We start from the raw sequence: 15,467 nt of genomic DNA, 5'->3' as shown, positions 1-15,467 counted from the left end.
ACCAAGGTTGAAATGAAGGAAAAAATGTTAAGGGCAGCCAGAGAGAAACGTCGGGTTACCCACAAAGCGAAGCCCATCAGACTAACAGCAGATCTCTCTGCAGAAACTCTACAAGCCAGAAGAGAGTGGGAGCCAACATTCAACATTCTTAAAGAAAAGAATTTTCAACCCAGAATTTCATATCCAGCCAAACTAAGCTTCATAAGTGAAGGAGAAATAAAATCCTTTACAGACAAGCAAATGCTGAGAGATTTTGTCACCACCAGGCCTGCCTTACAAGAGCTCCTGAAGGAAGCACTAAACATGGAAAGGAACAACCGGTACCAGCCACTGCAAAAACATGCCAAATTTAAAGACCATCAATGCTAGGAAGAAACTGCATCAACTAACGAGTAAAATAACCAGCTAACATCATAATGACAGGATCAAATTCACACATAACAATATTAACCTTAAATGTAAATGGACTAAATGCTCCAATTAAAAGACACAGACTGGCAAATAGGATAAAGAGTCAAGACCCATCAGTATGCTGTATGCAGCAGACCCATCTCATGTGCAGAGTCACACATAGGCTCAAAGTAAGGGATGGAGGAAGATCCACCAAGCAAATGGAAAACAACAACAACAAAAAAAGCAGGGATTACAATCCTAGTCTCAGATAAAACAGACTTTAAACCAACAAAGATCAAAAGAGACAAAGAAGGCCATTACATAATGGTAAAGGTATCAATGCAACAAGAAAAGCTAACTATCCTAAATATATATGCACCCAATACAGGAGCACCCAGATTCATAAAGCAAGTTCTTAGAGACCTACAAAGAGACTTAGACTCCCACACAATAATAATGGGAAACTTTAACACCCCACTGTCAACATTAGACAGATCAATGAGACAGAAAGTTAACAAGGATATTCAGGACTTGAACTCAGCTCTGGACCAAGCAGACCTAATAGACATCTACAGCACTCTCCACCCCAAATCAACAGAATATACATTCTTCTCACCACCACATTGCACTTATTCCAAAATTGACCACATAGTTGGAAGTAAAGCACTCCTCAGCAAATGTAAAAGAATAATCATTAAAAAGTCAGGAAACAACAGGTGCTGGAGAGGATGTGGAGAAATAGGAACACTTTTACACTGTTGGTGGGACTGTAAACTAGTTCAACCATTGTGGAAGTCAGTGTGGCGATTCCTCAGGGATCTAGAACTGGAAATACCATTTGACCCAGCCATCCCATTACTGGGTATATACCCAAAGGACTATAAATCATGCTGCTATAAAGACACATGCACACGTATGTTTATTGCGGCATTATTCACAATAGCAAAGACTTGGAACCAACCCAAATGTCCAACAATGATAGACTGGATTAAGAAAATGTGGCACATATACACCATGGAATACTATGCAGCCATAAAAAATGATGAGTTCATGTCCTTTGTAGGGACATGGATGAAATTGGAAATCATCATTCTCAGTAAACTATCGCAAGAACAAAAAACCAAACACTGCATATTCTCACTCATAGGTGGGAATTGAACAATGAGATCACATGGACACAGGAAGGGGAATATCACTCTCTGGGGACTGTTGTGGGGTGGGGGGAGGGATAGCATCGGGAGATATACCTAATGCTAGATGATGAGTTAGTGGGTGCAGCGCACCAGCATGGCACATGTATACATATGTAACTAACCTGCACAATGTGCACATGTACCCTAAAACTTAAAGTATAATAATAATAAAAAAAAGAAGAGAAATCTTAACAAACTGTCTCTCAGACCACAGTGCAATCAAATTAGAACTCAGTATTAAGAAACTCACTCAAAACTGCACAACTATATGGAAACTAAACAACCTGCTCCTGAATGACTACTAGGTACATAATTAAATGAAGGCAGAAATAAAGATGTTCTTTGAAACCAATGAGAACAAAGACACAACATACCAGAATCTCTGGGACACATTTAAAGCAGTGTGTAGAGGGAAATTTATAGCACTGAATGCCCACAAGAGAAAGCAGGAAAGATCTAAAATCAACACCCTAGAGAAGCAAGAACTAGAGAAGCAAGAGCAAACACATTCAAAAGCTAGCAAAAGGCAAGAAATAACTAAGATCAGAGCAGAACTGAAGGAGATAGAGACACAAAAAACCCTTCAAAAAAATTAGTGAATCCAGGAGCTGGTTTTTTGAAAAGATCAACAAAATAGACCACTAGCAAGACTAATAAAGAAGGAAGGAGAGAAGAATCAAATAGATGCAATAAAAAATGATAAAGGGGATATCACCACCAATCCCACAGAAATACAAACTACCATCAGAGAATCCTATAAACACCTCTATGCAAATAAACTAGAAAACCTAGAAGAAATGGATAAATTCCTGGACAAATACACCCTCCCAAGACTAAACCAGGAAGAAGTTGAATCTCTGAATAGAACAATAACAGGCTCCGAAATTGAGGCAATAATTAATAGCCTATCAACCAAAAAAAGTCCAGGACCAGACGGATTCACAGCCGAATTCTACCAGAGGTACAAAGAAGAGCTGGTACCATTCCTTCTGAAACTTTTCCAATCAATAGAAAAAGAGGGAATCTTCCCTAACTTATTTTATGAGGCCAACATCATCCTGATACCAAAGCCTGGCAGAGACACAACAAAAAAAGAGAATTTTAGACCAATATCCCTGATGAACGTCAATGCAAAAATCCTCAATAAATTACTGGCAAACCAAATCCAGCAGCACATCAAAAAGCTTATCCACCACAATCAAGTTGGCTTCATCCCTGGGATGCAAGGCTGGTTCAACATATGCAAATCAATAAACGTAATCCAGCATATAAACAGAACCAAAGACAAAAACCACAGGAGTATCTCAATAGATGCAGAAAAGGCCTTCAACAAAATTCAACAGCCATTTATGCTAAAAACTCTCAATAAGCTAGGTATTGATGGGACATGTCTCAAAATAATAAGAGCTATTTATGACAAACCCACAGCCAATATCATACTGAATGGGCAAAAACTGGAAGCATTCCCTTTGAAAACTGGCACAAGACAGGGATGCCCCCTCTCACCACTCCTATTCAACGTAATGTTGGAAGTTCTGGCCAGGGCAATCAGGCAAGAGAAAGAAATAAAGTGTATTTGATTAGGAAAAGAGGAAGTCAAATTGCCCCTGTTTGCAGATGACATGATTGTATATTTAGAAAATCCCATCGTCTCAGCCAAAAATCTCCTTAAACTGATAAGCAACTTCAGCAAAGTCTCAGGATACAAAATCAATGTGCAAAAATCACAAGCATTCTTATACACCAATAACAGACAAGCAGAGAGCCAAATCATGAGTGCAGTCTCATTCACAATTGCTTCAAAGAGAATAAAATACCTAGGAATCCAACTTACAAGGGATGTGAAGGACCTCTTCAAGGAGAACTACAAACCAGTGCTCAACAAAATAAAAGAGGACACAAACAAATGGAAGAACATTCCAAGCTTATGGATAGGGAGAGTCAATATCATGAAAATGGCCATACTGCCCAAGGTAATTTATAGATTCAATGCCATCCCCATCAAGCTACCAATGACTTTCTTCACAGAATTGGAAAAAACTACTTTAAAGTTCATATGGAACCAAAAAAGAGCCCACATTGCCAAGACAATCCTAAGCAAAAAGAACAAAGCTGGAGGCATCACACTACCTGACTTTAAACTATACTACAAGGCTACAGTAACCAAAACAGCATGGCACTGGTACCAAAACAGAGATATAGACCAATGGAACAGAACAGAGCCCTCAGAAATAATACCACACATCTACAACCACCTGATCTTTGACAAACTGGACAAAAACAAGACATTGGGAAAGGATTACCTATTTAATAAACGGTGCTGGGAAAACTGGCTAGCCATATGTAGAAAGCTGAAACTGGATCCCTTCCTTACACGTTATACAAAAATTAATTCAAGATGGATTAAAGACTTAAATATTAGACCTAAAACCATAAAAACCCTAGAAGAAAACCTAGGCGATACCATTCAGGACATAGGCATGGGCAAGGACTTCATAACTAAAACACCAAAAGCAATGGCAACAAAAGCCAAAATTGACAAATGGGATCTAATTAAACTAAAGAGCTTCTGCACAGCAAAAGAAACTACCATCAGAGTGAACAGGCAACCTACAGAATGGGAGAACATTTTTGCAATCTACCCATCTGACAAAGGGCTCATATCCAGAATCTACAAAGAACTTAAACAAATTTACAAGAAAAAATCAAACAACCCCATCAAAAAGTGGGCGAAGGATATGAACAGATATTTCTCAAAAGAAGACATTTATGCAGCCAACAGACACATGAAAAAATGCTCATCATCACTGGCCCTCAGAGAAATGCAAATCAAAACCACAATGAGATACCATCTCATACCAGTAAGAATGGCGATCATTAAAAAGTCAGGAAACAACAGGTGCTGGTGAGGATATGGAGAAATAGTAACACTCTTACAGTGTTGGTGGGAGTGTAAACTAGTTCAACCATTGTGGAAGACAGTGTGGCGATTCCTCAAGGATCTAAAACCAGAAATACCATTTGACCCAGCAATCCCATTACTGGGTATATACCCAAAGGATTATAAATCATGCTGCTATAAAGACACATGCACACATATGTTTATTGTGACACTATTCACAATAGCAAAGACTTGGAACCAACCCAAATGTCCATCAATGATAGACTGGATTAAGAAAATGTGGCACATATACACCATGGAATACCATGCAGCCACGAAAACTGATGAGTTCATGTCCTTTGTAGGGACATGGATGAAGCTGGAAACCATCATTCTGAGCAAAGTTTCGCGAGGACAGAAAACCAAACACCGCATGTTCTCACTCATAGGTGGGAATTGAACAATGAGAACACTTGGACACAGGGTGGGGATCATCACACACCAGGGCCTGTCGTGGGGTGGGGGGAGGGGGGAGGGATAGCATTAGGAGAAATACCTAATGAAAATGAAGAGTTAATGGGTGCAGCACACCAACATGGCACATATACACATATGTAACAAACCTGCACGTTGTGCACACGTACCCTAGAACTTAAAGTATAACTTAAAAAAATAACAAATAAAAGAGGACCACTTGGCCTAATTTTATCGACTTCTTCTATCAGAAACTTGATCTTTAAGAATAAAGCAGAAGCTTCCCCAATCCAGATATTTATATATAATAATCTGTTGAAGGTTCTTTATTGTAAAAATGACAAATGGATATGACAGTGAGTCAATCTGCAATGAGAACTGCTTGTAAAGTGTGTCTGTCCTACATTCATATAGTCCCAGCACTATATGGAAATACTGTGAATTCTGTCATCAAGGCCTAGTTCTGCAATATTAGTGAATTAATGACAACTTTTAATCAATGTGCCTGCACTGATTTTTAACTTGTTGAATACCATTTTCAGGATTCATAGATTCTTTCTTGTGTGAACAACCCCATGTTTGTCTTTGCTATATGCCATGCTTGAATATTCTCTTTTTTAAATTTTTCATTGCTAATTTTTATCTTTGCTTGTGTTCTTATTCAGAATACATTTTCAGATTGAGTCTCATCAATTGGTTTCTACAGATTCTCCTGTTTCCCTCCAACATGTAAATTATAGGCTAGCTGTCATACCTGTTGACAAACAAATGGCTGAATAATTTTACAGCTCTCTGGCCTAACCTGATCACATTGTCTGTATAGAGATGATGATGGTTTTCTTTTTCTTTATTCCCAGAGGGATCAGCATTTGTATTACATTGTGGCAGTAGAAAGGGAATTTTAAAACTCATTTGGAGTGGGAATCTCTTAGCTTAGAGTATGAAGCTGAAATAGATCTATTTTGTGCTTCAATCACGCTTCCTGTATTACACCATTAACTATCCTCCCAGGGACCAGAAGATTCAGGAGATTTTGTTTAATTACTTCATGCCCAATATCATGGGGACCACATTTGCAGGATGTGGGGCATGATAACGCCCTGTGGTTAGGATAACAGCTGTTCTCAGTTGTAACATAAGCAGTACAAAGTGAAATACTCACAAAATTATCCTCAGGGCTGTGGTAGGAAGGAAGAATGTTATAGAGGTTGATTTGCCTACATCCATATAATTGGTATATTGTAAAGCCTAGTTTGGACTCAAGTCCATGCTTTTTCTTTTGCTTTGTTAAATGTATTTATTTTTACATTGCACTCTATCCTTGAAGAGGATGTGTGAGAGCTGCCTGCCTTTCATGGGAAGAAAGGGTTAGTATGCTGAAGGCTGAAGAGAATTTGGTGGCTGTTAATGTACCATGTAATGGTACCATGTAATGTGTAATATGCAAAAAAGCACATCCTACTGCCTCCCAGACCCTCATCAGCTTTCCTTACATTTCTGTAAACTGTTCATGTTTTACTGAGAAAACAATTCACAACACCACTCTGCGGGAAGATGGGACCCAGTACAGATGGGACATAGTTTAATCTTCATGTGTTAGAGAGTGAGTAACTACATATCAGAGGTTTTCAAAATGTGGTTCCTGGACCAGCAGCATCAGCATCTCCTGGGAACATGTTAGAAATACAAACTGCCCCAAATCGACTGAATCATAAATTCTAGGGGTGAGGTAGTTTAACAATTTCTTCACGTGATTCTGATACATTAAAATTTGAGAACTGTTGCTATAATCAAGGCTCTCAGGGAATGATTTTGTTCACAATTTGTCCTCAGTTGTGAGGATAGTTGTGTAAAATATTTTTTAGTAATAGAATGTCAAATAGAGATCCCTCCCATCATGTAGCCAAGAAGTGTTAAGCACCTACTGTATGCAGAAGAGTATGCTAGCTATTGTAGCAAAAGGAAAGATGAATAAAATATGGTTTCAACCATCTGTGAGCTCAATTTGCCAATGAAATAGAGATGTAAGTAGCACAGTAGCCTGCCTCATTGGGGGCTATGTGTAATAACCTTTTGCAAAATGAAAAATATGGGCTAAATTCACCATTGTATAGTTGATATTACCAAACCACCCTTTGCTCTTTTCAGGGATGAAGAAATGGAGGGTGTTCATTAAAAGCTTAACAGTTTGAACCATAATGTTCATATGGTTAGCTACTGAAACAGAATGCAGCCTCACACTTCTTTTCCATTGCTTTTGCCTTACAAATTAGCCCCAACCCCGGGAGCCTGAGGCTAGATCAGGATTACAAAGTCATCTTCTACCTGTTCAGCAATTAAACAAATTCACAATAGACTTTTCCTTCTATTTAACTTTTATTAAAAGAAGTGCTAAGGTACTGAGATGCAGTACATCATATTTATTACCAAAATTATTAACAAATATACAAAACTTGTACATGTAATTTTCTTACATCCATTTATTCTCTATAATACTGATTTTTGTTCAAGTAGGTTATCTACAGTATGTAAACATCCCTTGGATTGACCTCACACAGATTAGGAAAGCCCTCTAACCCATGCTTTTGTCAGATACTTCTTTTTTATTTGGCTTTCATTTGTAGCATCTAATCTCCACATTTGGCACATGGAAGAGACATCTACAGTGCAAAAGAGGCAGATTTTTCTGGTTTCATTCTGAACAATTTTGCAGGGGCACAGTTAAATAGCTGAGAGGAGACACGAGCACTCTAACTTGATGGCGTTGGATGAGCTGTAATGCCAACATCTCTTGGTTCAGCCACTAAACTTGAGCATAAAGTCAATGTCTCTTCCTTCACCCACCCTCCCACCCATCCACCCCCATGCAAGGCTGATTCAGTCTTAACCTTGTCTCAAAAGGGTTACGGGAAATTCCATCCATCCCAGAACAAGTAGGTTAATTTCACTGAGTAACAAGTTTTTTGTTCTTTCTTGTGGGTTGGTTTCTGTGGTTTGAGCCAGCAAAACTCTTAAATGGAGAATAAGATAAGATAAAAAACAGATACGAGAGTAGAACTTTCTGCTTTCAATTGGCATCTCTGTATCCAAGGCCAGAGCCTTTCTGTGGTGGAAAAGTGACAAAGGCCTTAGCGAATGGCAGAGAAAAGCCACCCTTGTCAGAACACCTTGGACTCCAAGCCTTCGCACACAGTGTCAGAAAAATCAAAAAGAAAAGAAAAAAAGGTAATTAAAGATTCTGCCCTCTTCCTTCTGGGTTTCCTTTTGCTTATTTAACTTAATCTACCCAAGTAAAGCTGATCCAGAGAGAGCTCTGTTCGCCTGCTCACCCCCATTCTCACTCTCCAGCACAGTATTGCTCGTGTGGTTGGCTGCACCTTGTCCGCGAAGCACCCGCGGAGAACGTCTGGATTTGGACGCGCGCCTGCCTCCTGGCTTCCGTCACCACAGCGGCGCGGGTCCCTCCGACGCCCCGTAGAGCTCGGCCAGCTTCCGGAAGCGGGGCCCCCAGTCCGTCAGGAAGTCGAAGCTCTGTTCCGAGTCCGACGTGGCCGACTGCAGGGAGCTCAGCGACCCCGCCACAGAGCCGTCCCCCTCGAACATATACGTCTGGAGGGAGTCGAAGGGCGGTGCCCACAGGTCCATGTCGGCCTCGTAGAGCTTGGCCAGCACGTAGCTGTGGACAGTGCTGTTCACTGCGCACGTCTGAGGCACGTAGCGGGAGAGGCTCTCGATCTCGGGCAGCATGTCCTGCCGCGTCTTGGGGGCGGCCCCCGCCTGCGCCTCCCGGGGGTTCCACATGGCCGCGATGTCGAAGGCCTCGGTGTCCTCCTCGCCGCCGCCCTCGTCGTCGTAGCGGACGATGTTCTCGTGGATGTTTTCCTCGTCGTCGATGATGTATGGTTGTTTCCGGTGCCGCCTCATGGACAAAATGAGCAACACCAGCACTGCCAGGAACAAAAAGGAGAGTGTGTTTACCGAGGAGATGTGGCTGTGTGTGCGGTGACTAGAAGTAGTCTTGATTCACCACGGATAGGGGAAGGGCTACCGAGTGGAGGGCTCAGAGATAGCTTTTGGATATCTGAAACCTCGGGGAGTTCTAATTTAAGTCCACTTTGTCCTCTTTCTGTAAGTCAGGTTGTGGACAATGAAGCCCTGTATTTCTTCAAATGGTTTAATTAGAAAAAGTTGCCTATAGTCGCTTACCATCAGCTTGCTGTTTTGAAATTGTGTGTCTACACCTAACACCCAATTTAAAATCCCACTAACAAAGCACAAAGGCCTGCTATGGACCAACATACTCTAAGGACCAGATCACGTGCTCTGTTTATATGATGAAAAATATACATTTATCCTCTTATAATGTGAAAGTCTTATTATGTAGGTGGAATTCTGCTTCCGTATATTAGCATCTTAATAGGATTCTACTCTGTATATAATCATATCTTAATATGCATAGAGACACACATACTAAGTGTGCACCAAAGTTGTAGTCTTTTTATACCTCTAAAAAACAACAGAACATAAGTGATCCCTGGGGTCCAATAAACTCAGGTTCCTCAGAGAAGCCTTTCATTAAAGAGGTGGTTGTGGCTTTCTGGACCCAAGGGTATTTATGGAAGGCAGAGAATGAGCAGTGGCCTTTTATATAATTCATCATGTTATCAAAGAAACACCACACTGTTAGATGTGCCCTTGCAGGTTTGGATAAAATTTTATCCCAACAAATGCATTTTTCCCCCCTAGAATGTGTTCGCTGGGGTTTAAAGGAGAGATAGAGATAATCCCATTGAGCTATTTATCTCTCTGAAAACGTTTTCCAGGAAGAGTGTTGAGGTTTTAGCTGTAGAACTGCTATTGATTTTTTTTTTTTCTGGTGTGCTTTGTTATAGCTGGTGAACAGTGACAGTTTGACAGCACTGCAAAATAAGACCCCAGTTTATCCAAGGGGAGAAAGTGGAGTACATTCATACATGCAGTAAAAGATTACCGACTAATAAAACTCACAACAATGATTTAAAAATTTTTTTGAATGTAGATGTGCTTTTTTATCAATTGCAATTAATGACATTAATACGTAATATTTTCCCAGATAGCTTTGGTGACAAAACATACACAGGAAACGATGATACGCTCATGTGTATTTTCCCTGTGTGCAAAAATACGAGGCGTGGACTGAAAGGAGGGTGGGATTCCTAGAGAAAAAGAGACTAATAGGACTCTAAGGAAGCGTGGGCTTGAATCGAGCCTGAAAGGTTGGAGTGTGATTTGGATTGATGCAGGTTGGAGACGTGAGATTCGAAGTGAGCATGCTGTGTTTGCAGGATTCAGTAAAGTTATTAAACCCAAGTATTTTTAATCCTCTATGCTAAGCAATGGGGAAACAATATTGAGTGTGACATGGATTCTGCTCTTGTGAGCTTGTAATCTAAGGAGATTATGGATGCTGATAATTAATGCAAGTCAGACAGTGATAAGGGCTGTTAGAGCCACAAGTGTCACTGGGAGAGTACAGAGGCAGGGCCAGTGAATTTTACCTGGGAGACTGGGTAGGGCTTCACAGAGGTGACCTTGAAGTGGTAGGGGCGGTATTTTGGATAACGCTAGGAAGCAAAATTGGAAGTCTTTTGAATACCTTGCTGGAGAGAATTCTGATGGTCATGGAGAATTAGGCCGTTTATATAGAACTAGTCCGTCTTTTGAAAAATAAAGACAGCTACATGTCTTTTTTTTTTTAAGGTAATCTAATTAGGTAAATAACAAATATTACATAACAAATATTACATGATGCCCTGAAAATCAGATTTTGAGGAAAATGGTCTTATTCAGCTGAAAGGCTTCTCTGACAGAAGAGAATTAGTTCTAGGGATGGTTTATTCTTCGTGTACTATAGGCACGGTGCGTAGAGCTTATGAGATTTTCTAGGCACTAGATACATATATGAGACATGAAAAAAAAAAACCCAGGAAGTCAGAATTAATTTATTTAGTTGTCTATAAAATATAGTATTTTGTTGACAAATGCAAGTCAAATCTTAAAGTTTGATGAATTATTTTTAATGTGGGATGTGTACTCTTAGAAGTAAGGGTACTTAAAACTGTGAGGATTTTATGACAGCTCTGCTCAATTTAGCTCCTGAAAACTGTTTACTTTTTCTGTACGGTTTAAAAGACAAGACATCATCGTGGGTGGGAAGGGATAAGATAAATTGTCCCTTGCACACCATTTTTAACTTGAGAGCCTCTCCAAGCCAGTCTCTTTAAATCAGTATTTCTGTAATGATGGCTTTTTGTGGGCCAGGGCGAACTTTTAACTTCGACATTTTCCAAAGATAGAAGTAAGGACAGCCAGTCTGGAAATTCCTCCCAGGAACAAGTTTCTTCAAAGGCCTCTTACAGGTCATCCACTTCTGTGCTAAAGGACTCCCAATGCCACCTTATGGAAACTCAAGGAATTGCAGGGAGGTTTTACTTGTCAATGCAGTCAGGGACCAGAAACCGTAACAATTTTCTCTTGACACAGGGATCCAAGAACTTAGAAAGGTTACTTATTTATACTCTTCCTCTCTTTACGTAGGACTGAACTAAAACAACAAAATTAAACCACATGTTGTATTTTTAAATGTATTTTGAGAAGCACATTGCACGGACCTACCTAGAAAATCAAGTGTTGACATTTTACACAGGAACTTCTTTCTTTGGTCTGTCTCTTGGTATAGAGGTGAACTTGGGATCAAGGGTGTATGTGAATATCTGTACCTCTATTCTAATTTCAATCCTCAGGGCTTTTTCCCTCAGAAAACTCGGACTTCTTTTGTATTGAATAATACTAGTATCTACTAAATCTGTTTTTCTCTAAGCATGATATATATGCTATAGATTAGTTCAATAAGAAGAGCAAGGATATATGTACAGATACTTTCTTTTTTGCAAGAGTTGGTTTAGGTGTTTTTATTTCACTGTTTTTGAGTGTGGAATTAGAAAAGAATTGCAAGGATGGCCTTACATACCAGGGAGTTGGGGAGCCACCTTGCAGTATGACTTGAGAGGAAGAAGGAAGGGTTCCTTACCCCAGTAGTGTTCTGCCACTGCTAGCCTGTTATGTCCTTATTTCTTCAGCAGAGGCAAACTGACCCTGTTTAGTCACTGTTCCTGGTTAGATGGCCATGGTGCCTAGGAGGTGTACTAATCACCCCAAACAGCTTATTCTCCAGAAATCTGTGTGGTTCACACCATCACTTCCTTCAGCTCTCTGCTCAAAGGTCTTATCAGTAAGGGATTCCCTGACTACCCTGTTTGAAGTGGCGTCTATCCCTGTCACTTTTCCAACCAGGATACCTTATCCCTCTTCCCTTCCTGTAATACCACCTCCAGAATCGGGATGAGCATTTAGGAGAAAGGCAGTGCCTTTGAGCCACAGGGGTGCCCAGTGTATATAGCCTGCCTGCATTTCAGCCCTGGCTGTGCCTCTGACTTTGGTTTTGAGCCTGTCACTTACCCGTTTGTGACTTAGCTACTACTTAAATGAAGGGGTTAGAAGAGGTGATCATCAAATCCTGTCTAAATTGTAATTTTGATTCTATGATGTCAAAATGAACCTGCTTTGTTCTGAAGTAAACTCAGGAAGGCCAGGACTTGTCTGTTTTATTAATCCTAGCACCTTGTGTGGTGCCCCAGCTCATAGTAGATACTTTATAAGTATATGTGCTTTGATCTTGCCACAGACACCTCGAAGAAGGGACTGTCCTCAATTTCTTTACTGTTTTTTGTGCAGCCTCACTCTACCACCTTTTGAGTAAGCAAGGTGTGGAAGACCAGTTCTGAATAGCTGTGTCAGGAAGGTAATGAACAAATGTCTGAGTGCGCACTGGCAGGACTCCACAGAAGGGAAAGCAGCCCCTTACTCACCTAAGAGGACAAAGATGCAGGCGAGGATGGCAATGAGGGCGCCCCGGCTCAAACTGACTGGGAGCATGTAGGCCTCTGGGCTGCAGGACATGACGTGGCCGTCGTCATCACAGCTGCACACTTGGATGGTCAGTGTGCCTGTGCTGCTCAGCACGGGCTGCCCGCTATCTGCTATCAGGATAGGCAGGTGAAAGACACTCTGCTCCTGCTGCCGGAAACCAGACCTCCTGGTTAGAATCCGTGCTGTGTTATCTGAAAGAAGGAGGGGTTCCAGGATTGGAAAAGGGAAGGTGAATTAATTTCTTGGATTGAGGAAAGCAAGGGGGCAGGGGCAGGGTGTAGGAAGGAAAGAGGATAGTCAGATATTCCCTGGTAGTGGTCAACCATGGCGGGTTTGCCTGGATCAGCATTTGGATTCAGAAACCATGCTTTTTGCTTGCTTTTAGGCAAAACCCTGAGGCCTAAGAAGAGAAAGCCTCTTTTTTTTTTGAGTCTGTCTTATCCTTTGTGACATAAAGTGCCCAAGGCAAACTGTCAGACTTCAGATCTAACAAAAATGTCCCTGGGAAAGCTTGACAGAAAAGAACAATCACTGGTGACTTGTGGTCACTGTTTGTTCCTGCTCAGCAGCTTGCCAAGGCCCCAGTGCTGCTTTGCGCCTCCAGGAAAAGAATGCTGAGGAGCCTGTGTGACTGTGGCAGATTACTTATTTTTGCCGCTTTGTCTGGAATTCACGTCTTTTACTATTTTCTTTTATGCTTCTGAAATGCAGTCACCAACTCCTGTGTTTCCTAAAGAACCTGCTCATTTAGTAGAAGCTTCTTTGAAATCCCCTAATCATATGACACACCTTGTTATTTCTCCTGGGTTGGTGGTCTCACTTTAAGCAGTTAAAATGAACTTGGTGAAACTTTGTTACTGATCAATACTAGAAATCTTTCCTCCAGTTTTAAAGGGGATTAGTCAAATTATTAGATATTTTCTACAAAGTTGGGATGTGTATGTGTGTGTGTTTACATTTATATTCACATATTGTGTTGTGGGAGTTTTCATTTTTAAAATCTACATTCTCAAGTTTCCTGGTGTAGGTTTGAATTCTAAAGTAGATATACTTTTGCAAAGCTCAGATTATTTTCAGCAGAGGAAAAATTTGAGAGATGTAGTAGGACATGCAAGAAGTGATTCTCAAAGCTAATACCACCAACACAGAGGTCCCATGGATGTGTTTCATATTTCATAGGAAAGAGTCTAGAACATCACAAAAAATTTTGAGAGCCTAACCTAAGAAAACATTATTAGTGATTATCAATATTTCTGGTTCTTCTTCCCATTTTGGACATAATAAAGGATTACACTTTTCTATCCTCTTAAATGTGGGTATGTCTGTGTGATTTGCTTTAGTTGATGAGCAATAGTGATTTGTGTTACTTCTAGGCAGAAGTCTGTATGAGCTGGTGTGTAAGTCTCCATGCTCTTTCCTTGCTGTAGTTACTGAGAAAGAACCACAGGGTGTGAGATGCAGAGCGGGGCGGCCTGGGACGCTGAGCTCAGACCCACAGCAGGCTGTATGTGAGCAAGAAATTAACTGTAGTTGTGCTAAGCCACTGAGATTTTTGTGGTAGTTGTTCCCATAGCATAATCTGGGCTATTCTGAGTAACACATTACCCCTTAATTAACTTTTCTTCCTCCACTCTGCTTTTTATGCTAACAGCTATTGTTACTAAAGGCTCATGTGCCATGTACCTGGACTTTGCATGCAGTATCTCACTCAATCTTCACAATTTGGACATAGTAATAATCTTACTCGTTTTCAGAAATAGAAGTAAGGCCTAGAGTGATTTTATTATTTGTTTGAAGCCACTAACCTAGTTAGTAGCAGAGCTGGGATTTGAACTCTGGTCTCTCTGGCTCCAAAACATGTACATGTTCCATTGTGCTACATAACTGCTTATTTAGTTTAGTAATATTAACTGTCAAAAAAAATTCAGATAAGCATAACCTCTTCCTGCTTTGATACAGGCTACTTCTTATTTTCTTCCCAATGGAGAAAGGATGCCAACCTGAGGATTATATTCATATTTCCACCTACCAAACAACCCGTGCACCTTTCTGTGTTCCAGACTTAATAGCTAAATACTATCAATTCCACTTTGTAGTTTTAATTGCTTGTTTTTTCAGAAAGCAGGTTTTTCTCTAATCAGAACTTTTTTTTTATTTTTTTGGTTTAATCCAGGTGAGGTCATGAGACTTTTAGAAAGTCTGACTAGAGCCGAAATTCATAAAAGTATTATACCTACGATATATATGTTTCTTGATCTAAGAATTATTTAAGATTAAAGAAAAATATCAGAGCATCACATTGCTGAGTCCAGTGCTGGAAGGGGCCTGGCATATAGTAGCCACTTGGAAAATTTTTGTTGAATGTGATAATGAGGACTTTAGTAACTTATTTGGAAACAGCATTTTTTTCTGAGGTGACACAGAACACTGTGTGTGTGGGGCGGGGGTGTAGTGGGGGGGCATGGTAAAACAGGACTCAATTTCTAATCCCAGTTTTAATGCTTATTCAGCTTATTGACTCTGGTCTTGGGCCATTTGCTTACTTTCCTCATCTATCA

The 15,467-nt window shown here is 40.4% G+C and overlaps 1 protein-coding gene across 2 annotated transcripts in view, besides 1 other annotated feature; it reads right to left on the bottom strand.

Moving 5' to 3' along the window:
• Positions 1-7,298: 7,298 nt before the first annotated feature.
• CDH20 (cadherin 20) overlaps positions 7,299-15,467 on the bottom strand; it is a 222,350-nt gene continuing 214,181 nt past the window's right edge. For both annotated transcript variants that reach the window (NM_031891.4, XM_024451165.2), the window contains exons 11-12: positions 12,849-13,100; positions 7,299-8,888 (exon numbers count right to left, since the gene is read on the bottom strand). In NM_031891.4, coding sequence (NP_114097.2) covers positions 8,383-8,888; positions 12,849-13,100 — 758 coding nt within the window. In that variant the 3' untranslated portion in view covers positions 7,299-8,382. The remainder of the gene's footprint in view (positions 8,889-12,848; positions 13,101-15,467) is intronic.
• Positions 8,485-8,992: an enhancer, noted in NCBI's record as "H3K27ac-H3K4me1 hESC enhancer chr18:59221319-59221826 (GRCh37/hg19 assembly coordinates)". NCBI's record gives its function as "activates a minimal SCP1, AML or CMV promoter by ChIP-STARR-seq in primed H9 embryonic stem cells {active_cell/tissue: H9 hESC(primed)}" and the evidence as "EXISTENCE:reporter gene assay evidence [ECO:0000049][PMID:30033119]".

This window comes from Homo sapiens, chromosome 18 (genome assembly GCF_000001405.40).
Source record: "Homo sapiens chromosome 18, GRCh38.p14 Primary Assembly".
Taxonomy (NCBI): domain Eukaryota; kingdom Metazoa; phylum Chordata; class Mammalia; order Primates; family Hominidae; genus Homo; species Homo sapiens.
The sequence above is the reverse complement of the archived record's forward strand: the minus strand, read 5'-3'. Positions and strand labels throughout refer to the sequence as shown.